Below are 21,568 nucleotides of genomic sequence, written 5' to 3'. Positions count from 1 at the left end.
GAGAATCCCTTTAGCTCAGGAAGTTGAGCCTGCAGTGCGCCGAGATCGAGCCACTGCACTCCAGCCTGGGTGACAGAGACCCGGTCTCAAAAATATAAAGTAAAATAAAATATGCCACCATTTTTGTAACCCTGGTTTGTCATTTATTCACTTTTCATATACTCGAAGCCTTAAAACAAGGCCAGTGGAAAGACCTCACTCCACGAAGCTTTGGGTGGCGGTTGGCGTGGCTCCTAGAGATGTGATTCTTTCGTGCTATTTTGTGGGAGCAGAAACGGAGGTTAGCCCAGGCCTCGAGAGGGCTGGGGCGGGGCGCGGGCTCTGGCAGGTGCGTCAGTCCGCAGGGGAACCCGGGGCTCCACCTGGGCGCGGCGAGGAAGTTACACCATGTATGGGCAGCTACGTCAGGGGGGCGGGCCCGCAGCCTCCGGGGAACGCCGAGCCGGGCCCATCCCGGTGAAAAGGCTGCAGCCGGACTTGGGGAGGCGTCGCCAAGTTCGGGACCGACGGGCCAAGGCGGCGCGTCTCGGGGGTGGAGCCTGGAGGTGACCGCGCCGCTGCAACGCCCCCACCCCCCGCGGTCGCAGTGGTTCAGCCCGAGAACTTTTCATTCATAAAAAGAAAAGACTCCGCACGGCGCGGGTGAGTCAGAACCCAGCAGCCGTGTACCCCGCAGAGCCGCCAGCCCCGGGCATGTTCCGAGACTTCGGGGAACCCGGCCCGAGCTCCGGGAACGGCGGCGGGTACGGCGGCCCCGCGCAGCCCCCGGCCGCAGCGCAGGCAGCCCAGCAGGTGAGTGGGGCCCGACGCCGGTGGTCCCACGGGAGGACCGCGCGTGGGAGGCCGGGGTCAACTCCCGCACGCTCCGGGACTGGAGCGGGGAACCGGAGTCGGGGCCGGGCTGGGGGCTGGGGCGAGGATCCTGCCCCTCGCCGTCCGGGGCCAGTTGCCCCCACCGCGCAGCGGGCAGCAGAGACCCGCGAACTCCCCTTCTCCCAGCCGCCCCCTTCTCCCTCGCCGTCCGCGTCCGTCCCTCCGTCTCCGTGCCCGCTTTCTCTCCTCCTGCCCACCTCTGACTTCTGCGTCCACCCTGCTTCAGAAGGGGCGTGGGCGCCTAGGGTGGTCGCCTCGAAGGCTAGGAGGGTCTCTCCGCTTCGGGCTGAATTCCTGGGATCTGGAGTCTGGGCTGGGGTGAGGGTCCCCACACGGGAGGGAGGCGGGATCCGTCGGGAGAGCAGCTGGGCCAGGGTGGGAGTCCCGGCCCGGTCTGCGACCCTCCGCGTGTCCGTCCGTCTGTCTGTCCTTCGCCCCTCCGTCGCCAAGTCCCTATCGTTTCTCGGCCTGGGGAGTCCAGGGGGGTCCGGGCAGTGGAACCTGCCAGGTCCCCGGAGACCGGCCCTCGATCCCTTTGCCGAATGCGGCGAATAGAGACCTCGAGGTTCCGGGACGTGCGCGGGGTCAGGCTGCGGGCGACTCTCGCGACCCCACTCTCAGCCCCTAACGGCGCCCGCTGCCCGCCGGGGGGCACCCGGGAGGCTGCAGGTGCCCATTTCCTGTCGAGGGGCTGCGAGCACGTGTCGACAGGGGAGGGAAGGAGGGGCGTCCGTTCCGCCGAGTCACGGCGGCCGAGTCACGGCGGCTGAGTCACCCGGGGCGTCCCTCCCTTCCTGGCCTGGAGCGGCCCGGGCCCGGGAGTGGGAGATGCCGCCGGCGGTGCCTCGGACCCGGAACTGGGGTCACTGGGACGCCGGGCCCGCAGCGCTTGGGCTCGGGCTACCGCTGTCGGGACTTGCCTGGGCTTGTGGGCGCTTCCCGGACGATTGGGCGCCCACACCCAGGGCCCAGCGGCAGAGCTAGAACCCACTTCTCCCAGAACACTGAGCCCCATCCCAACCCACTCCTCAGATAGCTGGCTGATAGAATGGGAACAGGGACGTTGTGCTGGGCGCTTGCTACATCATTTACCATATTTCACGGAATCGAAGACCTCATCGATTGAAAAAAAAACCCACTATAACTTTATGCCACTAATTTTCTTTCCTTCTCTTTCTTTTCTTTTTTTTTTTTTTTCTGAGACAGGGTCTCCCTCTGTTGCCCAGACTATAGAGCAGTGGTGCAATCACAGCTCACTGCAGCCTCAGCCTCCTGGGCTCAAGCAATCCTACTGAGATCCTAGCTGGGAAGCGACCTGGCCACAGGCACGCACCACCACACCCAACTAATTTTTTAATTTTTTTGTAGAAATGAAGTCTCACTGTGTTGCCCGGTGTGACCTCAAACTCCTGAGCTCAAGTGATCCTTCTACCTCAGCCTCCCAAAGTGCTGGGTATGAGCCACCATGCCTAGTCCACTAAAATTTTTTAAATTGCCAATTAAACTATGATTTCAGAGCTATTAAAGGGTACTTCTTAACATCAGTGAAATCCTGTAATCCTCACCTGTAACAATATTAAAAATGAGGAAACTGAGGCACATGGAGGTTAAATAACTTGCCCATGGTCACACAGCCAGTAAGTAGCTGAGAGCTGAGATTAGAATTGGGACAGCCTGCCATGCCAGGTGGCTAAAGCCTGTCATCTCAACACTTTGGGAGGCTGAGGTGGGTGGACTGCTTCAGCTCAGGAATTTGAGACCACCCTGGGCAACCTAGTGAGACCCTGTCTCTACAAAAAAATTTAAAAAAAATTAGCCAGGCCGTGCGCGGTGCCTCATGCCTATAATCCCAGCACTGTGGGAGGCCAAGGCGGGTGGATCACCAGAGGTCAGGAGTTCAAGACCAGCCTGGCCAACATAGTGAAACCCTGTCTCTACTAAAAATACAAAAATTAGCCGGGCACAGTTGTGGGCGCCTGTAGTCCCAGCTACTCGGGAGGCTGAGGCAGGAGAATTGCTTGAATCCAGGAGGTGGAGGTTGCAGTGAGGCGAGATCGGGCTACTGCACTCCAACCTGGGTGACAAAGCAAGACTGTGTCTCAAAAAAAAAAAAACAGAAAAGAAAAAAAAAATTAGCCAAATGTGGTGGTGCACGTCGGTAGTCCCAGCTACTTGGGAGGCTGAGGTGGGAGGATTGCTTGAGCCCGCAGGTCACTGCACTCCAACCTGGGTGAAAGAGTGAGACCCTGTCTCAAGAAAAAAAAAAAAAAAAGCAATGGAATGGCCTGAACCCAGAGCAGTGACTCTTTCCTGCCTCAGCCCCTCTGCACTGGGCACCTGCCACTTACCAGACTGTCGCACACATTCTCTCACCTGATTCTCACAGCCTCCCCTTGAGCTGGGAGCTGTAATTATCCTCTTCGTGCAAACGGGTGCAGGAGTGGGTAAGAGCCCAGCTGCTGGGCTCATTGGCTCTGTGTCTGCGGACAACTGTTCTCCCGTCTGAAAATGAAGATACTAGGCTGGGCGCTGTGGTTCACGCCTGTAATCCCAGCACTTTGGGAGGCCGAGGCGGGTGGATCACCTGAGGTTGGGAGCTGGAGACCAGCCTGGCAAACATGGTGAAACCCTGTCTCTACCACAAATACAAAAATTAGCCGGGCATGGTGGTGCACGCCTATAATCCCAGCTACTCAGGAGGCTGGGGCAGGAGGATCACTCGAACCTGGGAGGCGCAGGTTGCAGTGAGCTGAGATCGTGCCACTACACTCCAGCCTGGGCAACAGAGTGAGACTCCATCTGAAAAAAAAAAAAGAAAAAAAAGAAAGAAAAGAAAATGAAGATATTACTGTGCCAATGATATGAGTCAGTATTTGTAAAGTGGTTAGAACAGTTCCTGGCAGTTTGTGCTTTATAAATGTTAGTTCTAATGGGGAAATGGGGGCACAGAGAGGTTATGTGACCTGCCCCAAAGCCACACAGCTTATGAGCAGGGATTTGCCACCAGGTCAGTCTCTGACTGCCAAGCTGTGCTCTTTCTGTTCCCAGAGCTAGCCTGTACATTGAAGGTAGACAGCAGTGTAGCCTCTGCCCAGTGGAAGCCCCTCAATCCACACGGACCTCATCTGTGGCCTTCCATTTCTTATTCCTTAGAAGTTCCACCTGGTGCCAAGCATCAACACCATGAGTGGCAGTCAGGAGCTGCAGTGGATGGTACAGCCTCATTTCCTGGGGCCCAGCAGTTACCCCAGGCCTCTGACCTACCCTCAGTACAGCCCCCCACAACCCCGGCCAGGAGTCATCCGGGCCCTGGGGCCGCCTCCAGGGGTACGTCGAAGGCCTTGTGAACAGGTAAGGCACAGAGGCATTGCAGTGGTTCCGACCCCGCCCAGGAGTGCTAGGGTGCAGAGAAGCTCCTGCCAGAAAGGAGAGCACAGGCTTAGGAGGGGGTAAGGTAGGCTACAGGTGACTACTGCCCAAGGCTGAAAGTGATAGGAGCCCCACGGGAGGCCCAGAGGGTACAACAGTCACTTCCAGATCAGGGAAAGCTTCCTGGAAAAGGTGGCATATTAGCCTAGAAGGATGGGTAGGACTGGCAGAGGCAGAGAGGAAGGAAAGGACATTCCAGGTAGCGGGGGTGGCAGGAGCAAGGATGGAGGCGGAGGCAAGAACATGTAAGGTGCGCACACGGAATGGTGAGGGGGTCTCCACCTGCTGACATGCATAGAGGGGGCGCTTATGTTGTCTGGGAGAGAACAGGAACAAGAGGGTTCCCTTCAGCTACTCCCTCAGTCTCAGTTTCCCTGTCTCATTTAATCCTCACAAAATCTCTCTGGGGAATGTACTCTGGTTTTCCCCATCTTCCACCAAAGAAATGAAGGCACAGAAGGGTAGTCACTTGCCCAAGATCACACAAGTAGTGAGTAATGACACAGGACTGGCCTTGGCCCCAGGTCTATACAACTCTAAAGTCAGATCCTAACCACCAAACCAGGGCCAGGTGCAGTAGCTCATGCCTGTAATCCCAGCACTTTGAGAGACCTAGGCAGGAGGATCACTTGAGGCCAGGAGTTCAAGACTAGGTTGGGCAACATAGAGAGACCCTGTCTCTACCGAAAAAACAAAATAAAATAAAACCCCCAAAACTAATCACCAAGCCACGCTGTCTCACTGGAAGCTAACAGAAGGCTCAAAGTAGAGGGAACTGACAATTCTTGGCTCCCCAAAGCCCTTACCAAAATAAGTGAGTAAGAGATGGCGAGTCTTTAAAGGAGTGGCTCATCTTTCCTCTCCCTGGGGCATTTTGGTGTGGGAGACTACAGGGGATGAGGTTAAAAAGCTTGGTCGGCAGGTAGAGGATGGGGAGAGAGGTTAGGGCCCTGGGAAAGGTGAGAGATCAGCCAGAGACAGGTTTCCCAGAACAGAATGTCTGGCCTTTGTGGTGAGGAGGGACTGTGGTATGAGCCGCAGAAGCGGGCCAGGGGTAAACCCTCCTGTGCGTCCTTCCTTCAGCCTGGTCCTGAGGGTGACCCTTTGATCCTGGGTTCTCCAGGTAGGGCTGTGAGCTGTGAGTTGGATCCTTTTGGTGAAATGGTCTCTCTCATCTGGCCTGTCACTCAATGTGGAATAGAGTGAGTGAGTTCTATGGGTTCTAAGTCCTGCTCTGGAACCATAAGTAAGTTATCCTCTCTGGGCTTCAGTTTTTCATGGAAAGTTGCGTTAAGAATCTAGTTTAAGGCCAGGCATGGTGGCTCACGCCTGTAATCCCAGCACTTTGGGAGGCCAAGGAAGGTGGATCATGAGGTCAGGAGATCGAGACCATCCTGGCTAACATGATGAAACCGTGTCTCTACTAAAAAATACAAAAAATTAGCTGGGCGTGGTGGAAGGCACCTGTAGTCGCAGCTACTCGGGAGGCTGAGGCAGGAGAATGGCGTGAACCCCGGAGGCGGAGCTTGCAGTGAGCCGAGATGGCACCACTGCACTCCAGCCTGGGCAACAGAGTGAGACTCCGTCTCAAAAAAAAAAAAAAAAAAGAATCTATGTTTTTTTAAAAAAGAGGCCAGCTGTGGTGACTCCCCCTGGTAATCCAAACATTCTAGGAGGCCAGTGCAGGAGGATCCCTTGAGCCCATGAGTTCCAGACCAGCCTGGGCAACACAGTGAGACCCCGTCACTACACAAAAAAAAAAAAGAAAAAAAAAGGCCGAGCACAGTGGCTCATGCCTGTAATCCCAGCACTTTGGGAGGCTGAGGAGGGTGGATCACCTGAGGTTAAGAGTTCAAGACCAGCCTGGCCAACATGGTGAAACCTCGTCTCTACTAAAAATACAAAAATTAGCCAGGTGTGGTGGTACATGCCTGTAATCCCAGCTACTTGGGAGGCTGAGGCACGAGAATCACTTGAACCCAGTAGGTGGAGGTTGCAGTGAGCCAAGATTGGGCCAATGCACTCCAGCCTGGGAAAGAGTGAGACTCTGTCTAAAAAAAATAAAATAAAATAAAATAAAATCTTTGCATGTTCTCAGTGAAAAACAAGAATCTACGTAAAGTACTTGGCTGGCACATAGTAGTTTTCCAATAAATTGCAACTTAATCAGCAGCACTCATTAGCCCCTCCTAGTGCTTACAGCTCATGGAAGAGGAGACTTGGTTGTCCACAGATCCAGAAGGATGAGGGTCCTGCAAAGAGGGTGCTGAGAAGGAAAGGTCACTTCTGGCTGGGGAATAAGACGGCTTCCTGGAGGCAGGAGCATCTTAGTTGAGTCCTGGGAGATGAGGAGGGTTAGGGTTTGCGGAGGGGGAGGGCATTATGGGAGAGGAATGTGCACTAAAGCTAGGTGCGAGGAGGAAATTTTACCAATCAAAGCAGACAGCGCCTCAGTGCAGGGAACTGGTTGGGTGCAGTGATCCCTAAATCACCGGCTGAGGGGGCCCTGCCATGACCTCTGCCAGGGTCCTACCACTGGGCCACCATGAGGGGCGAGTTCCAGGCAGCCAGTAGCCCAGGGTCCTCCTCACTGCGGGTCTCACCCCCAGATCAGCCCGGAGGAAGAGGAGCGCCGCCGAGTAAGGCGCGAGCGGAACAAGCTGGCTGCGGCCAAGTGCAGGAACCGGAGGAAGGAACTGACCGACTTCCTGCAGGCGGTGAGCACCAGCCCTGGTCCACCGAGCTCAGAGGGACCCTGTCTCCCAGAGCCCCCAGAGCCCCAGTATATGTAGCCCCCTCCTCACCATCCTAGCTCCTTGTCTGAGGGGCAGTCCTTCTGGGAAAATGATGAGGAAAAATTGATTAGAAACTGGCTGCAGCATGTCTCACTCACAGCAGAGCTGAAGCTCAGCCAGCAATCTCCTTTTTTTTTTGAGACAGAGTCTCGCTCTGTCACCCAGGCTGGAGTGCAGTGATGAGATCTCGGCTCATGGCTCACTGTGACATCTGTCTCCCAGGCTCCAGCAATTCTTATGCCTCAGCCTGCTGAGTACCTGGGGCTACAGGCGCCTGCCTCCCTACCCGACTAATTTTTGTATTTTTAGTAGAGACGGGGTTTCGCCAAGTTAGCCAGGCTGGTCTCAAACTCCTGGTCTCAAGTGATCCGCCCGCCTCAGCCTCCCAAAGTGCTGGGATTACAGGCCGGAGTCACTGCCTGGTGCCAGCAATCTCCTAAAACGTCTGGGCCTGATGGGAGTTGTGCCCATTTTCTCCCAGGGGCTTATGGGAGTTGTAGTCCAGACTTGCTGGGGACTCTCCACTGCCCCCCCTCTCCCCCCGCCCAACCCCAGCTCCTCAGAACCCTGAGTCCAAACGTCTGCGGCTCTGGGGTATTCAGCCCTCACCTTTCTGACTCCTCTCCTGATCTTCTACAGGAGACTGACAAACTGGAAGATGAGAAATCTGGGCTGCAGCGAGAGATTGAGGAGCTGCAGAAGCAGAAGGAGCGCCTAGAGCTGGTGCTGGAAGCCCACCGACCCATCTGCAAAATCCCGGAAGGAGCCAAGGAGGGGGACACAGGCAGTACCAGTGGCACCAGCAGCCCACCAGCCCCCTGCCGCCCTGTACCTTGTATCTCCCTTTCCCCAGGGCCTGTGCTTGAACCTGAGGCACTGCACACCCCCACACTCATGACCACACCCTCCCTAACTCCTTTCACCCCCAGCCTGGTCTTCACCTACCCCAGCACTCCTGAGCCTTGTGCCTCAGCTCATCGCAAGAGTAGCAGCAGCAGCGGAGACCCATCCTCTGACCCCCTTGGCTCTCCAACCCTCCTCGCTTTGTGAGGCGCCTGAGCCCTACTCCCTGCAGATGCCACCCTAGCCAATGTCTCCTCCCCTTCCCCCACCGGTCCAGCTGGCCTGGACAGTATCCCACATCCAACTCCAGCAACTTCTTCTCCATCCCTCTAATGAGACTGACCATATTGTGCTTCACAGTAGAGCCAGCTTGGGGCCACCAAAGCTGCCCACTGTTTCTCTTGAGCTGGCCTCTCTAGCACAATTTGCACTAAATCAGAGACAAAATATTTCCCATTTGTGCCAGAGGAATCCTGGCAGCCCAGAGACTTTGTAGATCCTTAGAGGTCCTCTGGAGCCCTAACCCCTTCCAGATCACTGCCACACTCTCCATCACCCTCTTCCTGTGATCCACCCAACCCTATCTCCTGACAGAAGGTGCCACTTTACCCACCTAGAACACTAACTCACCAGCCCCACTGCCAGCAGCAGCAGGTGATTGGACCAGGCCATTCTGCCGCCCCCTCCTGAACCGCACAGCTCAGGAGGCGCCCTTGGCTTCTGTGATGAGCTGATCTGCGGATCTCAGCTTTGAGAAGCCTTCAGCTCCAGGGAATCCAAGCCTCCACAGCGAGGGCAGCTGCTATTTATTTTCCTAAAGAGAGTATTTTTATACAAACCTACCAAAATGGAATAAAAGGCTTGAAGCTGTGGCCTGAGTGCCTCACTGGACCCAGAGGCCAATGGGAGAGTATTTGGAGCCCTAGGTCCCAGCCTTAGCTCTACAGACTCACTGCATGACCTTGGACAAATTCTTTGATATTTTTGGACTTTGTCTTATCTGACAAGTGGGGCTACATCCGCTCGGCCTCATCTCCGGGACTGAGGGGAGACAGTCCTCTGGGGTAAAAGCGAAGAGGCTTACCGCCCCTCTCCCCGTGGGGGCCCACAGTGCTGCTGCGTGTGCCACGGAGGGGCGCTGTTATGCCCCCTTCCAGCCTCAGAGGAGGCGGCCGAGTGGTTCTAGGCCCCCAGCACCTGCTTCCTGCCCCATTGTCTTGGACAGGAAGGAGCCGGGAAGGGAGCTGGAGCCACTTCAGGGGCTGGATTAAGGCCGGTCCCGGCGCCCGATGGGGGAAGTCTGGTTTACCACTGCCCCGCATCCCACCCCAGGCTCGAAGTAATGGGGGAATCATTAGTTCTGCAGTCCTTCTGGATGGGAATTGTACCCTGTATCAGCACCCCACCCTCGCCCCAACCCCGGCGAGTACCAAACAGACGCTGCCCAGGCCGTGGGCTCCGCTTCCGTCCGGGTTTATTACCCCCAATCCAACCCCCAGCAAGTCCCTCCGCTCCAGCCTTCAGTCCCCCTGCTGCCCTGCCAGCAAGAGCGAGGGGCCCTTCTTGGTGTCAGGATTTCTTAGTCCATGCCAGCGGCCCCTCCTGCGCAGCCAGGACGGCGTCCAGGTCCCGAGGTCCACAGCGGTCCCGGGGCTCGGGGAGCAATCCGGGCGGGCGTCGGCGTGGAGGAAGCAGTGCCTTCAATCATCGGGGGAACAGGCCAGGGGCAACTGATCCGGACTGCCCACGCTGCCAGTGCTGGAGCTTCCATCGCCTAGGTCGCGGGGCCCGCACGGGGGCAAGGCAAGCTCGGGTGCTGGCCCGGCTCCTGATCCCCCGGCGCCGCTGGGGCCGCCGCGGGGGCCCCATTCTTCGCCCAGCGCCAGGCAGAGCTCCTTAAGCGCTAGGTTCTCCCGCAGCAGCTCCTCCTGGCGGCCCTCCAGCTCGGCCAGCTTCTGCCAACAGCCGCCCAGGTCCTCGCGCACGGCCCGGGATGCTTGGGTCCCGAAGAGCTGCCACTGGCGTGCGGCGCGCCGCCCGCGCTGGCGCTCCGAGTCCAGGAAGCAGCAGAGGTCGCGCAGCTCACGGTTCTCTGCCTGCAGACGCCGGTTGAGCTGCTTGAGCTCGCGGATCTCGCCCAGGTGGCCCTGCAGCTGCCGATTCACCTCCTGCATGAGGCGGCCGCGCTGCACCAGTGCCGCCAGGCGCGCCGCCTCCTCCCGCCGCAGGCGCCGCACTAGCTCTTCCTTGCCTAGCGCCGCCATCTCCTCGTCCGTCAGCTCCTCCAGGCCGCCTGCCTCGGCCTCCATGGCTGGTCAGGCCTCTGGAGCATCGCCCGCCCGCCGCCGCGGCCCAGGAGCCCCACGTCGGGCCCGGCGCCACTCAGGCTCGGGCTCCGGCTCCGCACGCGGCAGGCAGTGGCCGAGGCAGCGTAGGCTGCAGCAGCTACCCGGGCTGGGCACGCGGCGGGGCGCGCGCCGGGGCGGGGCCGCATGTCGTTATGGAAGGACAGCCAATCCGGTGAAACGTCCCCGGAAAGGGGCGGGGCCTGAGCTCAGGGGCCGCCCCCCTCGTTCCCCACCCACTCCGGGTGTTACTGATCCTCGATGTCAAGGAACCCGCGCGTCATCGCCCTCCACATCGGTCTCAACCCGAAACTAGGAGCTTCGAACCTCCAAGTACCGGATCGCCCCAAGCTTGAGCCTAGGCCTCTCGGCTCTTCTGAGAAACAAGATTCAGGCGTCCGCCCCTGACTCCTGCCCATCCCCCACAGAAGTCAGATGGACCGCTCTCCAGTCCCTCTTTACCTTTGATCAAATTCGGAAGTCTCGGCCCACTAAGGATCGCTCCTGGTTCCTCGGAACCCTGAGTCCAAACGTCCTAGCTCACCAATAGACTACCCTCCCTCCCAGGGAGCGTTTCCTGCCTGGGGGGAGGAACATACAGGATTCGTTTGTTCAATAAACGTTTTTTATGTGCAAGGCCCATGCAGAAATAAATTTAACCAAAATACCGATTCCATCCTCAAGGAGGTCGCAGTCTGTCCGGGAAGTCAAGCTGTGTTAAGCAAGAAATAAATCCGGGAGGAGTATGGTCTGAGGGTCCTTAAGAGGGTTCCCAAAAGAGATGCTATCCAAGAGGCTCTGGTAGATCCATAGGACTTTGCCAAGTAAAGAGCTATTTCAGGGAGAGAGAATAACATAGTGAAAGACACTGGTGCCCGAAAGAGCCTAGCTGCTTTAGGAACAATGAGGATAGCTTGGTTTTTGAAAAGCAGATGTGTCGAGAAAATGCTAAGAGAGAGAGAGCGAGGCTTCAAAGGTAGGTAAAAGCCAGATTCTTAAGAACTTCCAGTACCAGGTTGGAGCATTTCCAAAGGCCACTAAGGATGTTAAGCAAGAGAGTAACATTTGTAAGGATGTTAAGCAAGGGAGTAACATTTTAAAATATGCCTTTAACTGGCCAAGATGGTGAAACCCCGTTTCTACTAAAAATACAAAAATTAGCCGGGCGTGGTGGGAGGAGCCTGTAATCTCAGCTACTCGGGAGGCTGAGGCAGAGAACTGCTTGAACCCGGGAGGCGGAGGTTGCAGTGAGCCGAGATCGCGCCACTGCACTCCAGCCTGGGCGACAGAGCGAGACGCTGTCTCGAAAAAAAAAATGTATTTAAAAAGATTGGGCTGATCTGTGTGGGCCGGACCCTGCGGGGAGGGGACATAAACAGGGAGATTAGTAACGGTGTCAAAGAGCAAGAGCAAGGAGAGCTAAGCAGAAAGACGGCTGGGGCAGCATCAGTGGGGGTGGAGAGGACAAACAGATACTAGAAATATTCGGGAGGCAAATCAGCCGAACTGAATGTGGGGAGAGAGGAGTCTGGAAGAACGCCCAGGTTTCTCGTATGAGAACTGGTGGATGTTAGGGCTGTCACTGAGATAGGGACGCAGGAAAGAAACAAATGGGGAGAGGCAGAGGTCTGTCTAGAATATGTTGAGCTTTTGAGGGGCTTACGGGAAGAGTGTGGATAGACTTGGCCGATAGGCGGCCCCTCCGGATGTGGACTTCCAGGCAGAGCTCGGAGGGGCAGAATTAGAGACGTCAGTAGCTCGTGGGGCTGGGGGTGGGATTAAAACCAAGGTGGGAGCAGGTGCCCCAAACCCAGGAGAGGTGCTCATGCGCAGGATGGACAAACCAGTCTCCAGCAAGAGCCCGAGGAAGTCGGGTCATACCCCATTTTTGCGGAGATTTAGGATAGAGCCCTGTGAAACCCCTAAGTTTAGGATACAGGTCAAACTTAGGAGGTCCCGAAGAGGGCAGAGAAGGTGGGAGAAAAGCCAGGAGGAAGTGAGGGGAGAAGTTACGGGGACCGAGGAGACGAAGAGGAGGCACTCCCTTCGTGCTCCTGCAGACGGCCGGGGAGGGAGACAGGACGCAGGAGCCCGGGACTCCCCCTCCCGGCGGGAGGAAGCGGTGCTCCTCCGCGCAGGCCTCCCCCTCTCTTCCCTCGCCGCTCCCGCCCCGTCCCCTCCCCGACTGGCTGTGTCCCGGAAGTGGTCATAAGCTGGGTCCCGATGCCGCGAGCGGAATCTCGGCGCTCCCGGAAGTGGCCTGAAGGCGGCGCGCCAGTCCCGAGCAGTGCTCGCTCCTGCTCGGGGCGCTGCGGCCCCGGGCGTCGCCATGACCAGTGAGCTGGACATCTTCGTGGGGAACACGACCCTTATCGACGAGGACGTGTATCGCCTCTGGCTCGATGGTTACTCGGGTCCGTGAGGGGCGTGTGGGGAAGCCAGTCGGCGGAGCGGTTGTGTTGAATGGGAGAGGGGGCGGGGCTAAGACTTGGGCATCCTTTAGGGAAGTGGGCGAGCGCCTGGGAATAAGAGGTGTTATAGGGGTCTGGGATGGAAACCCTTAAGGGCCTCTGGCGTCGGCGGGGCGGGGCCTGATGCTAGCGTCCGCTTTCCAGTGACCGACGCGGTGGCCCTGCGGGTGCGCTCGGGAATCCTGGAGCAGACTGGCGCCACGGCAGCGGTGCTGCAGAGCGACACCATGGACCATTACCGCACCTTCCACATGCTCGAGCGGCTGCTGCATGCGCCGCCCAAGCTACTGCACCAGCTCATCTTCCAGATTCCGCCCTCCCGGCAGGCACTACTCATCGAGAGGTGCTCACCCTCTGGGATGGTGGAGACATCAACCAGTCTGACTGTATACCCATTTTGCCGGCTGAAACAGGCCCAGGGAGGGATGGGATTTACCCAGCCATCAGAAAGTTGAGAGTGGAAGGGGTCAGACCTAGGCCCTGCTAGGCCCCGCCAGACTCCCTTTCCTGTCTTTTATGGAGGGTCAATGGTGTTCTCTGACTCCACAAGGTACTATGCCTTTGATGAGGCCTTTGTTCGGGAGGTGCTGGGCAAGAAGCTGTCCAAAGGCACCAAGAAAGACCTGGATGACATCAGCACCAAAACAGGCATCACCCTCAAGAGCTGCCGGAGACAGGTATGCACTGCATCCACACGGACACAGCATCCCATCTACACTTCACTCCCTCCCTTTGGCCACTGGCCCAGTTCCAGCCTCTGATTGTGGCAGCAGCTTCATACCTAGTCTTCTCCTCCCTTCCCCTTTCCCCTCCTTTTTTTTTTTTTTTTTCGAGATGGAGTCTTGCTCTGTGGCCCAAGCTGGAGTGCAGTGGCGCGACCTCAGCTCACTGCAACCTCCGCCTCCTGGGTTCAGGTAATTCTTGTGCCTCAGCCTCTGCAGTAGCTGAGATTACAGGCGCCCGCTCCCACACCCAGCTAATTTTTGTATTGTTAGTAGAGACAGGGTTTCACCATGTTGGCCAGGCTTGTCTTGAACTCCTGGCCTCAAGTGATCATCCGCCTCGGCCTCCCAAAGTGCTGACATTACAGGCGTGAGCCACCGTGCCTGGCTCCCTGTTGTGCCTTCCAAGCTATCCTGTACTGTATGGCCAGAGTGACCTTTCAGAATGACCTGAAATTTTATCAGACCCCTGATAAACTTTCATTGGCTCCCACTGCCTCCTGGGTAGCAGCTGCACTCCTTGGCTTTGACCTATGGACTGTCCTGTTATCTCATCCCTGCAGACCTCTCTAGGCTTACATTTCTCCAGCCCCAGGCTTTCCTTTACTCATGTTGCTTCTACCTGGAGGGTACTGTTCTTGGCAATATCTACCCCTTGAAATCCAAGACAAGAGGTGAGATGCCACCTTCTCCACAAGCCTTTTTGGTACGCCAGGAAGAAGTAACCCTTCTGGGTCTTTGATGCCTTTCTTTTGTATCTCCTGTGAGCTTTCTGTTTATAGCTTAGCATTTGTTTTTTATTTTTTAGTTTCTAGGGCTTAGCCAGGAAAGTCTCTTCCAACTCAAACTTGTGAAGATCTGGAGAGCATGGTGCTAAAATGGGGTTGGATTTAGAGATAAGATTGAGTAAACATTTATCCAAGGCAAGATACAGCAGGAGTTGCTAAGCATTTGATTTGATAACAAGTACTAATAACTAATAGTTGGTTGAAGGAATAACAAATGCTAAATCAGCATCTGCTGACTGGATAGGTGGATGGGGAAGGGAGAGATGTTCAATAAGTGGTTTATTGGGTGAGCGACACAGTGTACACTCTGACCAGTCCTCTCTTCTACCCTAACTGCCCTGCAGTTTGACAACTTTAAACGGGTCTTCAAGGTGGTAGAGGAAATGCGGGGCTCCCTGGTGGACAATATTCAGCAACACTTCCTCCTCTCTGACCGGTTGGCCAGGTGAGGAGCTAGCCACCTCCCCATCCCGCACACTACTTCCTGGGCCCGGAGGCTCGTCCACCTTCCCTACCCCAAACCTTCTGACCTCCTGAGTATGCTGGGGGAATGATTATCCCACTTTTGGTCTGTACTTTTTTTTTTTTTTTTTTTTTAATGAGACGGAGTTTCACTCTTGTTGCCCAGGCTGGAATGCAATGGTGCAATCTTGGCTCACTGCAACCTCTGCCTCCTGGTTCAAGCAATTCTGCCTCAGCCTCCCGAGTAGCTGGGATTACAGGCTTGAGCCACCGCACCCAGCTTGGTCTGTACTTTGGACCAGACTGACCTGGATTCAAAGCACAGTCCAGCGATTTCCAGCTGGGCTGTTGAGAGGTACCATATGTAAAGCCCATGGCACAGCCCTGGCACTTAGGAAGTGCTCAGTAGATAGTAACTGTTACCCTTATGGTCTCCCACTGTATCCACTAGTAAACTTGAGCTGGAACCTTCTCTTCGCACAGATGGGGAAGGGTCATAGAGAAGTGACTTGAGACACGTCACACAGTGACTTGAGGCAGAGAGAGGCCAGAACTCGGACACCCAGCTGAGGTTGCAGGTGGGAGCTGCTTCCTAAGAAGGAATTTCAAGCCCTAAGAGGACCCTCCTCTCGTCTGTGCAGGGACTATGCAGCCATCGTCTTCTTTGCTAACAACCGCTTTGAGACAGGGAAGAAAAAACTGCAGTATCTGAGCTTCGGTGACTTTGCCTTCTGCGCTGAGCTCATGATCCAAAACTGGACCCTTGGAGCCGTCGGTGAGGCCCCCACTGACCCAGGTGCCTGGACGCCTCCCCATCCTCAGGACCTGATTCCCCACCAGTAGTTTCTCCCACAGGCCCTCAGTTCCTGGCATCCGCTCCTGTTCATGGCCCCCACCCAGGCTCCCCCTGCCCATAGAATGTTTTCCCCACACACACCTTGTCTGCAGACAAAGGGCCCATTGCCTCTCTGTGGCCTGGGGCATGTCACTCCATCTCTCTGACACTCCATTTCCTCTTTTGTCCCCAGGGGGGAAATAAGGTGGTGGGTGAGGAAAGGCTTAGGCTATCACAGGAGGGGTTTTTATCACCCACCCCCACCCCCTTCATGGCCTCACAGACTCACAGATGGATGACATGGACATGGACTTAGACAAGGAATTTCTCCAGGACTTGAAGGAGCTCAAGGTGCTAGTGGCTGACAAGGACCTTCTGGACCTGCACAAGAGGTGACCTTGTAGGGGCCCATGGGGCGGGGCCTGCAGTAGGGGCCCAGGTGGCTATAGGCGTGACCCTGTCTCTCTGCAGCCTGGTGTGCACTGCTCTCCGGGGAAAGCTGGGCGTCTTCTCTGAGATGGAAGCCAACTTCAAGGTCTGTGGTCCCATCCAGCCTCTGACCCTTGGCATCTTCAGCCTCCAGTTCGCCACCCCTACCGGGCAGCTCTGCCCCTGCCAGGGATTGGCCGGCAGGTGGCACTGCTGCTCCCTCTGGTGGCCGCTGACGGGAGCAGCTCATAAACAATGGGGACTTGGTTGATGGAGGGAGGTGGATGGATCTGGGGAGGGGCCTGCTCCTCCTCCCCCAGCTTCTGTGCTCAGCTGCCAACTTCTGGGGCAGAAAGCAGAGCTCCAAGGATCCCTGCCCCACAGAACCTGTCCCGGGGGCTGGTGAACGTGGCCGCCAAGCTGACCCACAATAAAGATGTCAGAGACCTGTTTGTGGACCTCGTGGAGAAGGTGAGCTGTCGTGCTCTCTGACACCCAACCTGGTCTGTCCCTGGCCTATACAAGTGCTAAGTATTCTCTTGGGCCCGCAGTTTGTGGAACCCTGCCGCTCCGACCACTGGCCACTCAGCGACGTGCGGTTCTTCCTGAATCAGTATTCAGCGTCTGTCCACTCCCTCGATGGCTTCCGGTGAGCAGCCCTGTCCTCCTGTCCAGCTTGGCTTTGCCCCAGCCTGCCACCTGCCAGGACCTCGCCTCCTGCAGACTCAAGGTTCCCCATTCTGCTACCCTGGGGGTGGGACCAAAGTCTCTGGACCAAAGCTCTGGCTCTCCCTCTTAGAAGCTGTGTGATTTGGGGCAGGTTTCTTAACCTCTCCATGCCTCAGTTTCCTCATGTACAAACTAGGGTTCATCATGAGAAGAATTGTAAGGATTTTCTAAGGGCAAAATGAATGAAGGTGTAGAAAGCACGCAGGGCAGGGCCTCCATCACGGTGAGTGTTGTGAAAACTCAGCTGTCACTGTTCATGTTCTTACAGACACCAGGCCCTCTGGGACCGCTACATGGGCACCCTCCGCGGCTGCCTCCTGCGCCTGTATCATGACTGAGGTGCCTCCCAACGCTCCGCCCACGCTGACAATAAAGTTGCTCTGAGTTTGGAGACTGGTCCTCGCTCCGGGGAGCAAGTGGGGGGCGTGCAGATGTGCCTGTGTCTGTCTCTGAGCACCTGGTGTCCGTGTACAAGGATGGATGTGTACAGTGGCTCCTTGGGAACTGAGACATATCTCAGGGAATGGTGTCTGTGCTCAGCCCATCCACCAGAAGAGTCTGCTCACAAGCCAGAGGTCTTGTCTTGGTTTATTCAGGCTGTATTGAGATTGGGAGGATGGGCAAAAACCTGGGGGTGGGGCTGGCAAGGAGGCAGTTGGCCTAACAGGACAGAGCTGAGGGGGCCAGGTGGGTTCAGGGAGGGCAGGAGACTCGGGGCTTCATATCCGGTTTCTGCACACGGGCAGTGAGCGGGAACTTGGTGATGCCACAGGTATTGCTCCCTCGGTGCAGCCGGAAATAGCCCTAGGAGGTTAGGGGACATAGGGGCGGGAAGGTGGGAAGAGGCCTGTTCTGCCTTGCCCCCTCCCCCAATAGATCACACTCACCTTCTCTCCCCATTGGGCCCCCCAGGAGTTCTTCAGGATCCAGTATGGGGTGGGGTGTGGAGGCTGAGGCTGAGACTGCGATGAGACTGTCTCTGCCCATATCCCCTCCTCTGACTTGACGCTGCCAAAACCCACCAGCAGGACAGAGTGGTCCACAAGCTGGGGGTCACAGGTGGTGGGTGTGGCCTTGATCACACCTTTCCGGTATAGCTGCAGGGGGTGGGGGCCGAGGGGCTGAGTGTGGGGCCAAGTCTCCTGTATGCCCCTTCCCCATCAGCTCCCCCATCTCACCTGAAGGGGCTTCATGTTGATGGTCACGGTGATGGGGCCATAAGTGGCCAGGTACTGCGCAATTCCTGGGGACAGGAACATCATCAGACCCTTGGCATGTGGGTGTGTGGGTCTCTCGCTCCTTCGCTCCCCCCACCCCCTCTTGTCTTCTAGCCCAGTAGCCCAGCGTGTCTGCCTCTGCCCCGGTGTCTGTCCCTGCCATCCGCCCGTGTCCCTGCCCTGCCCGCACTGTGCTCGTTGTTCTGCAGCATGATGAAGTCCTGGATCCAGGCCACCTTCTGGTACTTCTTGGGGTGGCACCTGTGGGCTCTGACTTTGCCCTGGAACGGGTAGTCCTTTTCACTGGCCAGGCCGCCTGCAGATAAGCAAGACAAGGGAGGAGGTTCCGCTCCTGCCCACCCTGTCCCCCTGCAGATGTCCAGAGTGGCGGGGCAGTGCACTCACTGTTGTTGAGGACAGTTATGAACGCGTCCCAGACGAAGCCACCGTGGCAGCCATCCCCACAGCGGCCACAGTCCAGCAGTTCTGGTGCAAGAAGGGACAGTGTGGGTGACCAGGCCCCTAGGCCTCCCTCCCCTGTCACACGCGCACCCTCTCCCAACCCTACCCTGCACGGAGACATCCACAAAATCCCAGAAACTGATGCGCCACAGGGTCTCTATGTTGCCTGCCGCTGCCATGGCCCAGCAGCAGTTGCAGTTTTTCTGGAGGGCGAGAGGGTGGGGCGGGGCTAGGTGTTCGGGCCGTGCCCCTCTCCCTCCCACCACTTAGCTGAATTAGAGCCAGCTGGGTAGCGGCAGATACCTGGTCCTTGATGGGTGAGATGGCGCTGGCCACCTTCCGCCAGTCACAGCTGAAAGGTACTGACTCCTCTGGCTCTTCAGACCTTATTTCTCTGCCCATGCTGGGGACCCCTCCAGCTGCCCTCCGATAGCCATAGAGCTGGCCAAACTCCTCCTCTGGGGAACAGACAGGGCCACTGAGGTCTCCATTTTGACCCCTTCTCCCTGTTCTGCCTCTCCCACTCCAGCTGTTGGTCCCATAATTCCCTGAGGGGCAAAAAGGCAAGGATAGGCCGGGCGTGGTGGCTCACACCTATAATCCCAGCACTTTGGGAGGCCAAGGTGGGTGGATCACTTGAGGTCAGGAGTCCGAGACCCCATCTCCACAAAAAGTAGAAAAATTAGCTGGGCGTGGTTGTGCGGGCTTGTAGCCCCAGCTACTTAGAAGGCTGAGGGGTCGGGGGAATTGCTTGAGTCTAGGAGGTGGAGGCTGAGTGAGCTGTGATTGCACTATTGTACTGCAGCCTGGACAACAGAGCAAGACCCTGTCTCAAAAAGGCAAGGGTGCCAAGCCTAGAGAGGCTGGGCTCCCTGCTGGGTGCTTCCCTGCAGCTGCTGCGCTGGCCCCTAGGCTGGATTAGGACACAGGACTGCAGAGATTCTGCCCCTGCACTGGGTGATTTGATACCAGCACCCAAGCCCCTGGTCCTCAGGGAAATGAATTTCCTTCCCTGGGAAGTAAAAATTGAAGGTCCGCTGGGTCCAGCTGCCAGTGTCCCTGGGGAGATCGCTTCCCAACCACCACCTACGAGCCAGAAGGGTTAATGGTACCTGTGAGGTCACTGAATGGAGTCACCCCAAACTCAGCTGTGCCCAAGTCCTCCTCCTGCAGCCTCTGAGCCTGGGCCAGGTTGTGGGCAAAGATGTCCAGGCGGTGAGCATGCTCTGGACCAAAAGGGAGTTGTCCTAGGCTGACTCCCAAGCCCTTAGGGGCAGGAAGTAGCCGCTGGCTGGGCACCCTTCCACCCACACCCACCCAGTTGAGCACTGGCTCCTTTCCTGTAGCCCCCACAAGGCCCCACTGCAGATACCCAGGCCCAGGAAGTGGTTACCCAGCCCACCGAGGGTTGGGTTTTCCCCAGAGGCAGCCAGAGGACCATCTCTGGCCACCCTAGGTGGGAAGCCAGGCAAGGGGTCCGGTGGTGGTGACTCAAGGATGTGTGGCTGGAGACCAGCTTCCTGCCAGGCCACGTCCTTTACACCTCTGACCACAGGAGGAGAGCTGGAACATGGCAGGGAGAGGAGATGACAAGGCACAGGCAGTCTGGGCTAAAAGGCACACACAGATCAGCCCCCTAGAGAGATCAGCACAGCGAGAGGGCAGGGGCAGGGGTTAGATCATGGGCTAGAGAAGAAGTCCCCAATGTGGGGACAAAATGGGTGTCCTTGGGTGTTTGCTGAATGAGCAAATGACTAGGTGGTGGCCCCCTGTCCACTGCCTAGAATCGCAGGGAAGTGGCTGTGGAGCCAGGGGATCACGTAGGACTAGGGCAGGACCCCACCTCCTGCCACTGCCCTCCAGATCCATAGCAAAGAATGATCCTGGACCCACTCATGCCTTCGGGAAACCAGGGAACACACCCCCAGCCCTGGCCTGTCCTGCTGAGTGGCCTTGGCCATGCCTGTTCCCCACCCTGAGCTTCGATTTCTTCATCTATTACAAAGCGGGATGGCTGGGCTCCGTGGCTTACACCTGTAATCCCAGCCCTTTGGGAGGCCGAGGCAGGCGGATCACCTGATGTCAGGAGTTCAAGACCAGCCTGGCCAACATGGTCAAACCCCATCTCTACTAAAAATGTAAAGGTTAGCCAAGTGTGGTGGCGCATGCCTGTAATCCCAGCTACTCAGAGGCTGAAGCAGGAGAATCGCTTGAACCCGGGAGGTGGAGGTTGCAGTGAGCCAAGATGACACCATTGCACTCCAGCCTGGTCAACAAGAGTGAAACTCCGTCTCAAAAAAAAAAAAAGTGGGGGCTTGGACTGGAGATGTATGTGCCCTGTGATACCTTCTGGGCTCAGGTAACTCCGGTTGAACTGGATCTGGAACAACTTGAAGGCCTCTTTCAGCTCTAGCGGCTGGGGACCTAGGTCCTGGCAAGGAACCAAGGGTGGAGAGGGGCAGTGGGCAGAGGAATCATTGCTGGGGCCCCACCTTAGTTCCCAGCCGTGCAAGGACTGGGCTAGGGGTCAGCCAGTTAGCCTTTTCTGTCTTCCCATGTGCCCTTGGGCACGTCAGCCCCCTCTCCAGCCTCAGCAACTCCCTCTGAAAAATGAGAATGACAGGCCAGCTGTTTCTGAAGGGGTGACCCCAGGCGTGGGACTGGCATAGGTAAGGGTTTGGGAGCACTTACCTGGGCCCTAAGGGGGCCTCTGATGCCTTGGGCTAGGCCTGCCACCAACAGGGCCAGGAGGCAGGAGGGGTGGGCAGTCAGTGCCATGCCGGTGCAGTCTGGAGTGGCATGGAGGCAGGAAGCCGCGCAGATCGAGGAGGACGGTGTGAGGGTGGGGCTGGAGAAACCACGAAGGGGAAGACAGGCTTGGTGGGTGGAGGGTGGACCCCTAGAACCCACAAGTTGCTCAGGCCTTCAGGCTTTCAGTCCCTGCCTGTCTGCTCCCCATCCCACCCCTTTTTCTTTCTTTCTTTCTTTCTTTTTTTTTTCCACCCAGGTTGGAGTGCAGTGGCATGATCTCGGCTCACTGCAACCTCCACCTCCCGGGTTCAAGCAATTCTCCTGCCTCAGCCTCCCGACTAGCTGGGACTACAGGCATGCACCACCATGCCCAGCGAATTTTTTGTATTTTCAGTAGAGACAGCATTTCACCATGTT

General features: G+C 57.0%; 4 protein-coding genes across 10 annotated transcripts, besides 12 other annotated features; 2 read left to right on the top strand and 2 right to left on the bottom strand.

Annotated features, from left to right (window-relative positions):
* Positions 254 to 853: a silencer, noted in NCBI's record as "silent region_3567". NCBI's record gives its function as "represses an Ori minimal core promoter by ATAC-STARR-seq in GM12878 lymphoblastoid cells {active_cell/tissue: GM12878}" and the evidence as "EXISTENCE:reporter gene assay evidence [ECO:0000049][PMID:35858748]".
* On the top strand, positions 488 to 8,984 carry FOSL1 (FOS like 1, AP-1 transcription factor subunit). Of its 6 annotated transcripts, none has more exons than NM_001300855.2 (4): positions 645 to 792; positions 4,027 to 4,224; positions 6,917 to 7,019; positions 7,737 to 8,984. In NM_001300855.2, exons 1-4 carry the CDS (start codon positions 694 to 696, stop codon positions 7,742 to 7,744), a joined length of 408 nt encoding a protein of 135 aa, NP_001287784.1. In that variant the 5' UTR covers positions 645 to 693; the 3' UTR covers positions 7,745 to 8,984. The 6 variants fall into 6 exon arrangements, 5 of the variants coding, with proteins under 5 accessions (NP_001287784.1, NP_005429.1, NP_001287785.1 ...); NM_005438.5 differs by having other exon boundaries at positions 6,912 to 7,019; NR_125339.2 differs by lacking the exons at positions 645 to 792; positions 4,027 to 4,224 and adding an exon at positions 488 to 642 and having other exon boundaries at positions 6,912 to 7,019.
* Positions 1,462 to 1,581: a silencer, noted in NCBI's record as "silent region_3566". NCBI's record gives its function as "represses an Ori minimal core promoter by ATAC-STARR-seq in GM12878 lymphoblastoid cells {active_cell/tissue: GM12878}" and the evidence as "EXISTENCE:reporter gene assay evidence [ECO:0000049][PMID:35858748]".
* Positions 1,462 to 1,774: a biological region, named in NCBI's record as "ReSE screen-validated silencer GRCh37_chr11:65666730-65666957".
* Positions 1,547 to 1,774: a silencer, noted in NCBI's record as "fragment chr11:65666730-65666957 (GRCh37/hg19 assembly coordinates)". NCBI's record gives its function as "represses an EF-1alpha promoter that drives an FKBP-Casp9 reporter gene in an ReSE screen in K562 erythroleukemia cells {active_cell/tissue: K562}" and the evidence as "EXISTENCE:reporter gene assay evidence [ECO:0000049][PMID:32094911]".
* Positions 6,699 to 6,808: an enhancer, noted in NCBI's record as "active region_5021". NCBI's record gives its function as "activates an Ori minimal core promoter by ATAC-STARR-seq in GM12878 lymphoblastoid cells {active_cell/tissue: GM12878}" and the evidence as "EXISTENCE:reporter gene assay evidence [ECO:0000049][PMID:35858748]".
* Positions 6,911 to 7,415: an enhancer, noted in NCBI's record as "H3K4me1 hESC enhancer chr11:65661089-65661593 (GRCh37/hg19 assembly coordinates)". NCBI's record gives its function as "activates a minimal SCP1, AML or CMV promoter by ChIP-STARR-seq in primed H9 embryonic stem cells {active_cell/tissue: H9 hESC(primed)}" and the evidence as "EXISTENCE:reporter gene assay evidence [ECO:0000049][PMID:30033119]".
* Positions 8,700 to 8,859: an enhancer, noted in NCBI's record as "active region_5020". NCBI's record gives its function as "activates an Ori minimal core promoter by ATAC-STARR-seq in GM12878 lymphoblastoid cells {active_cell/tissue: GM12878}" and the evidence as "EXISTENCE:reporter gene assay evidence [ECO:0000049][PMID:35858748]".
* Positions 8,900 to 8,949: an enhancer, noted in NCBI's record as "active region_5019". NCBI's record gives its function as "activates an Ori minimal core promoter by ATAC-STARR-seq in GM12878 lymphoblastoid cells {active_cell/tissue: GM12878}" and the evidence as "EXISTENCE:reporter gene assay evidence [ECO:0000049][PMID:35858748]".
* CCDC85B (coiled-coil domain containing 85B) lies at positions 9,398 to 10,360 on the bottom strand. The gene has a single exon (NM_006848.3). The coding sequence runs from the start codon at positions 10,247 to 10,249 to the stop codon at positions 9,641 to 9,643; it is 609 nt and encodes a 202-aa protein (NP_006839.2). The 5' UTR covers positions 10,250 to 10,360; the 3' UTR covers positions 9,398 to 9,640.
* Positions 10,090 to 10,569: a silencer, noted in NCBI's record as "silent region_3565". NCBI's record gives its function as "represses an Ori minimal core promoter by ATAC-STARR-seq in GM12878 lymphoblastoid cells {active_cell/tissue: GM12878}" and the evidence as "EXISTENCE:reporter gene assay evidence [ECO:0000049][PMID:35858748]".
* Positions 12,332 to 12,471: a silencer, noted in NCBI's record as "silent region_3564". NCBI's record gives its function as "represses an Ori minimal core promoter by ATAC-STARR-seq in GM12878 lymphoblastoid cells {active_cell/tissue: GM12878}" and the evidence as "EXISTENCE:reporter gene assay evidence [ECO:0000049][PMID:35858748]".
* On the top strand, positions 12,562 to 17,293 carry FIBP (FGF1 intracellular binding protein). 2 transcript variants are annotated; one of them, NM_004214.5, is made up of 10 exons: positions 12,562 to 12,699; positions 12,901 to 13,099; positions 13,307 to 13,433; positions 14,611 to 14,711; positions 15,370 to 15,503; positions 15,847 to 15,955; positions 16,035 to 16,098; positions 16,377 to 16,463; positions 16,544 to 16,641; positions 16,990 to 17,293. In NM_004214.5, the coding sequence occupies exons 1-10, from the start codon at positions 12,615 to 12,617 to the stop codon at positions 17,057 to 17,059; spliced, it is 1,074 nt and encodes a 357-aa protein (NP_004205.2). In that variant the 5' UTR covers positions 12,562 to 12,614; the 3' UTR covers positions 17,060 to 17,293. The 2 variants fall into 2 exon arrangements, with proteins under 2 accessions (NP_004205.2, NP_942600.1); NM_198897.2 differs by having other exon boundaries at positions 15,370 to 15,524.
* Positions 12,592 to 12,661: an enhancer, noted in NCBI's record as "active region_5018". NCBI's record gives its function as "activates an Ori minimal core promoter by ATAC-STARR-seq in GM12878 lymphoblastoid cells {active_cell/tissue: GM12878}" and the evidence as "EXISTENCE:reporter gene assay evidence [ECO:0000049][PMID:35858748]".
* Positions 15,887 to 15,946: an enhancer, noted in NCBI's record as "active region_5017". NCBI's record gives its function as "activates an Ori minimal core promoter by ATAC-STARR-seq in GM12878 lymphoblastoid cells {active_cell/tissue: GM12878}" and the evidence as "EXISTENCE:reporter gene assay evidence [ECO:0000049][PMID:35858748]".
* Positions 17,292 to 21,196, bottom strand: CTSW (cathepsin W). Its single transcript, NM_001335.4, has 10 exons — positions 21,092 to 21,196; positions 20,747 to 20,831; positions 19,513 to 19,626; positions 18,704 to 18,858; positions 18,507 to 18,603; positions 18,344 to 18,424; positions 18,129 to 18,254; positions 17,900 to 17,964; positions 17,609 to 17,818; positions 17,292 to 17,525 (listed from the first exon to the last, which is right to left on the bottom strand). Exons 1-10 carry the CDS (start codon positions 21,176 to 21,178, stop codon positions 17,415 to 17,417), a joined length of 1,131 nt encoding a protein of 376 aa, NP_001326.3. The 5' UTR covers positions 21,179 to 21,196; the 3' UTR covers positions 17,292 to 17,414.
* Positions 21,197 to 21,568: the final 372 nt, after the last annotated feature.

Source organism: Homo sapiens, chromosome 11 (genome assembly GCF_000001405.40).
Source record: "Homo sapiens chromosome 11, GRCh38.p14 Primary Assembly".
Lineage (NCBI taxonomy): Eukaryota > Metazoa > Chordata > Mammalia > Primates > Hominidae > Homo > Homo sapiens.
This window is presented reverse-complemented; position numbering and strand designations above follow the sequence as displayed.

Coding starts and splice junctions, on each gene's coding strand:
- CTSW (NM_001335.4), bottom strand. CDS start 21,178: ATGGCACTGACTGCCCACCCCTCCTGCCTCCTGGCCCTGTTGGTGGCA. Junction 19,627..20,746: donor GAGTTACCTGAGCCCAGAAG/GTATCACAGGGC, acceptor CTTTTGGTCCAG/AGCATGCTCACCGCCTGGAC. Junction 17,526..17,608: donor GGGCCCAATGGGGAGAGAAG/GTGAGTGTGATC, acceptor CTAACCTCCTAG/GGCTATTTCCGGCTGCACCG.
- FIBP (NM_198897.2), top strand. CDS start 12,615: ATGACCAGTGAGCTGGACATCTTCGTGGGGAACACGACCCTTATCGAC. Junction 13,434..14,610: donor TCAAGAGCTGCCGGAGACAG/GTATGCACTGCA, acceptor ACTGCCCTGCAG/TTTGACAACTTTAAACGGGT. Junction 16,642..16,989: donor CACTCCCTCGATGGCTTCCG/GTGAGCAGCCCT, acceptor ATGTTCTTACAG/ACACCAGGCCCTCTGGGACC.
- CCDC85B (NM_006848.3), bottom strand. CDS start 10,249: ATGGAGGCCGAGGCAGGCGGCCTGGAGGAGCTGACGGACGAGGAGATG.
- FOSL1 (NM_005438.5), top strand. CDS start 694: ATGTTCCGAGACTTCGGGGAACCCGGCCCGAGCTCCGGGAACGGCGGC. Junction 793..4,026: donor CAGCGCAGGCAGCCCAGCAG/GTGAGTGGGGCC, acceptor CTTATTCCTTAG/AAGTTCCACCTGGTGCCAAG. Junction 4,225..6,911: donor GTCGAAGGCCTTGTGAACAG/GTAAGGCACAGA, acceptor TCTCACCCCCAG/ATCAGCCCGGAGGAAGAGGA.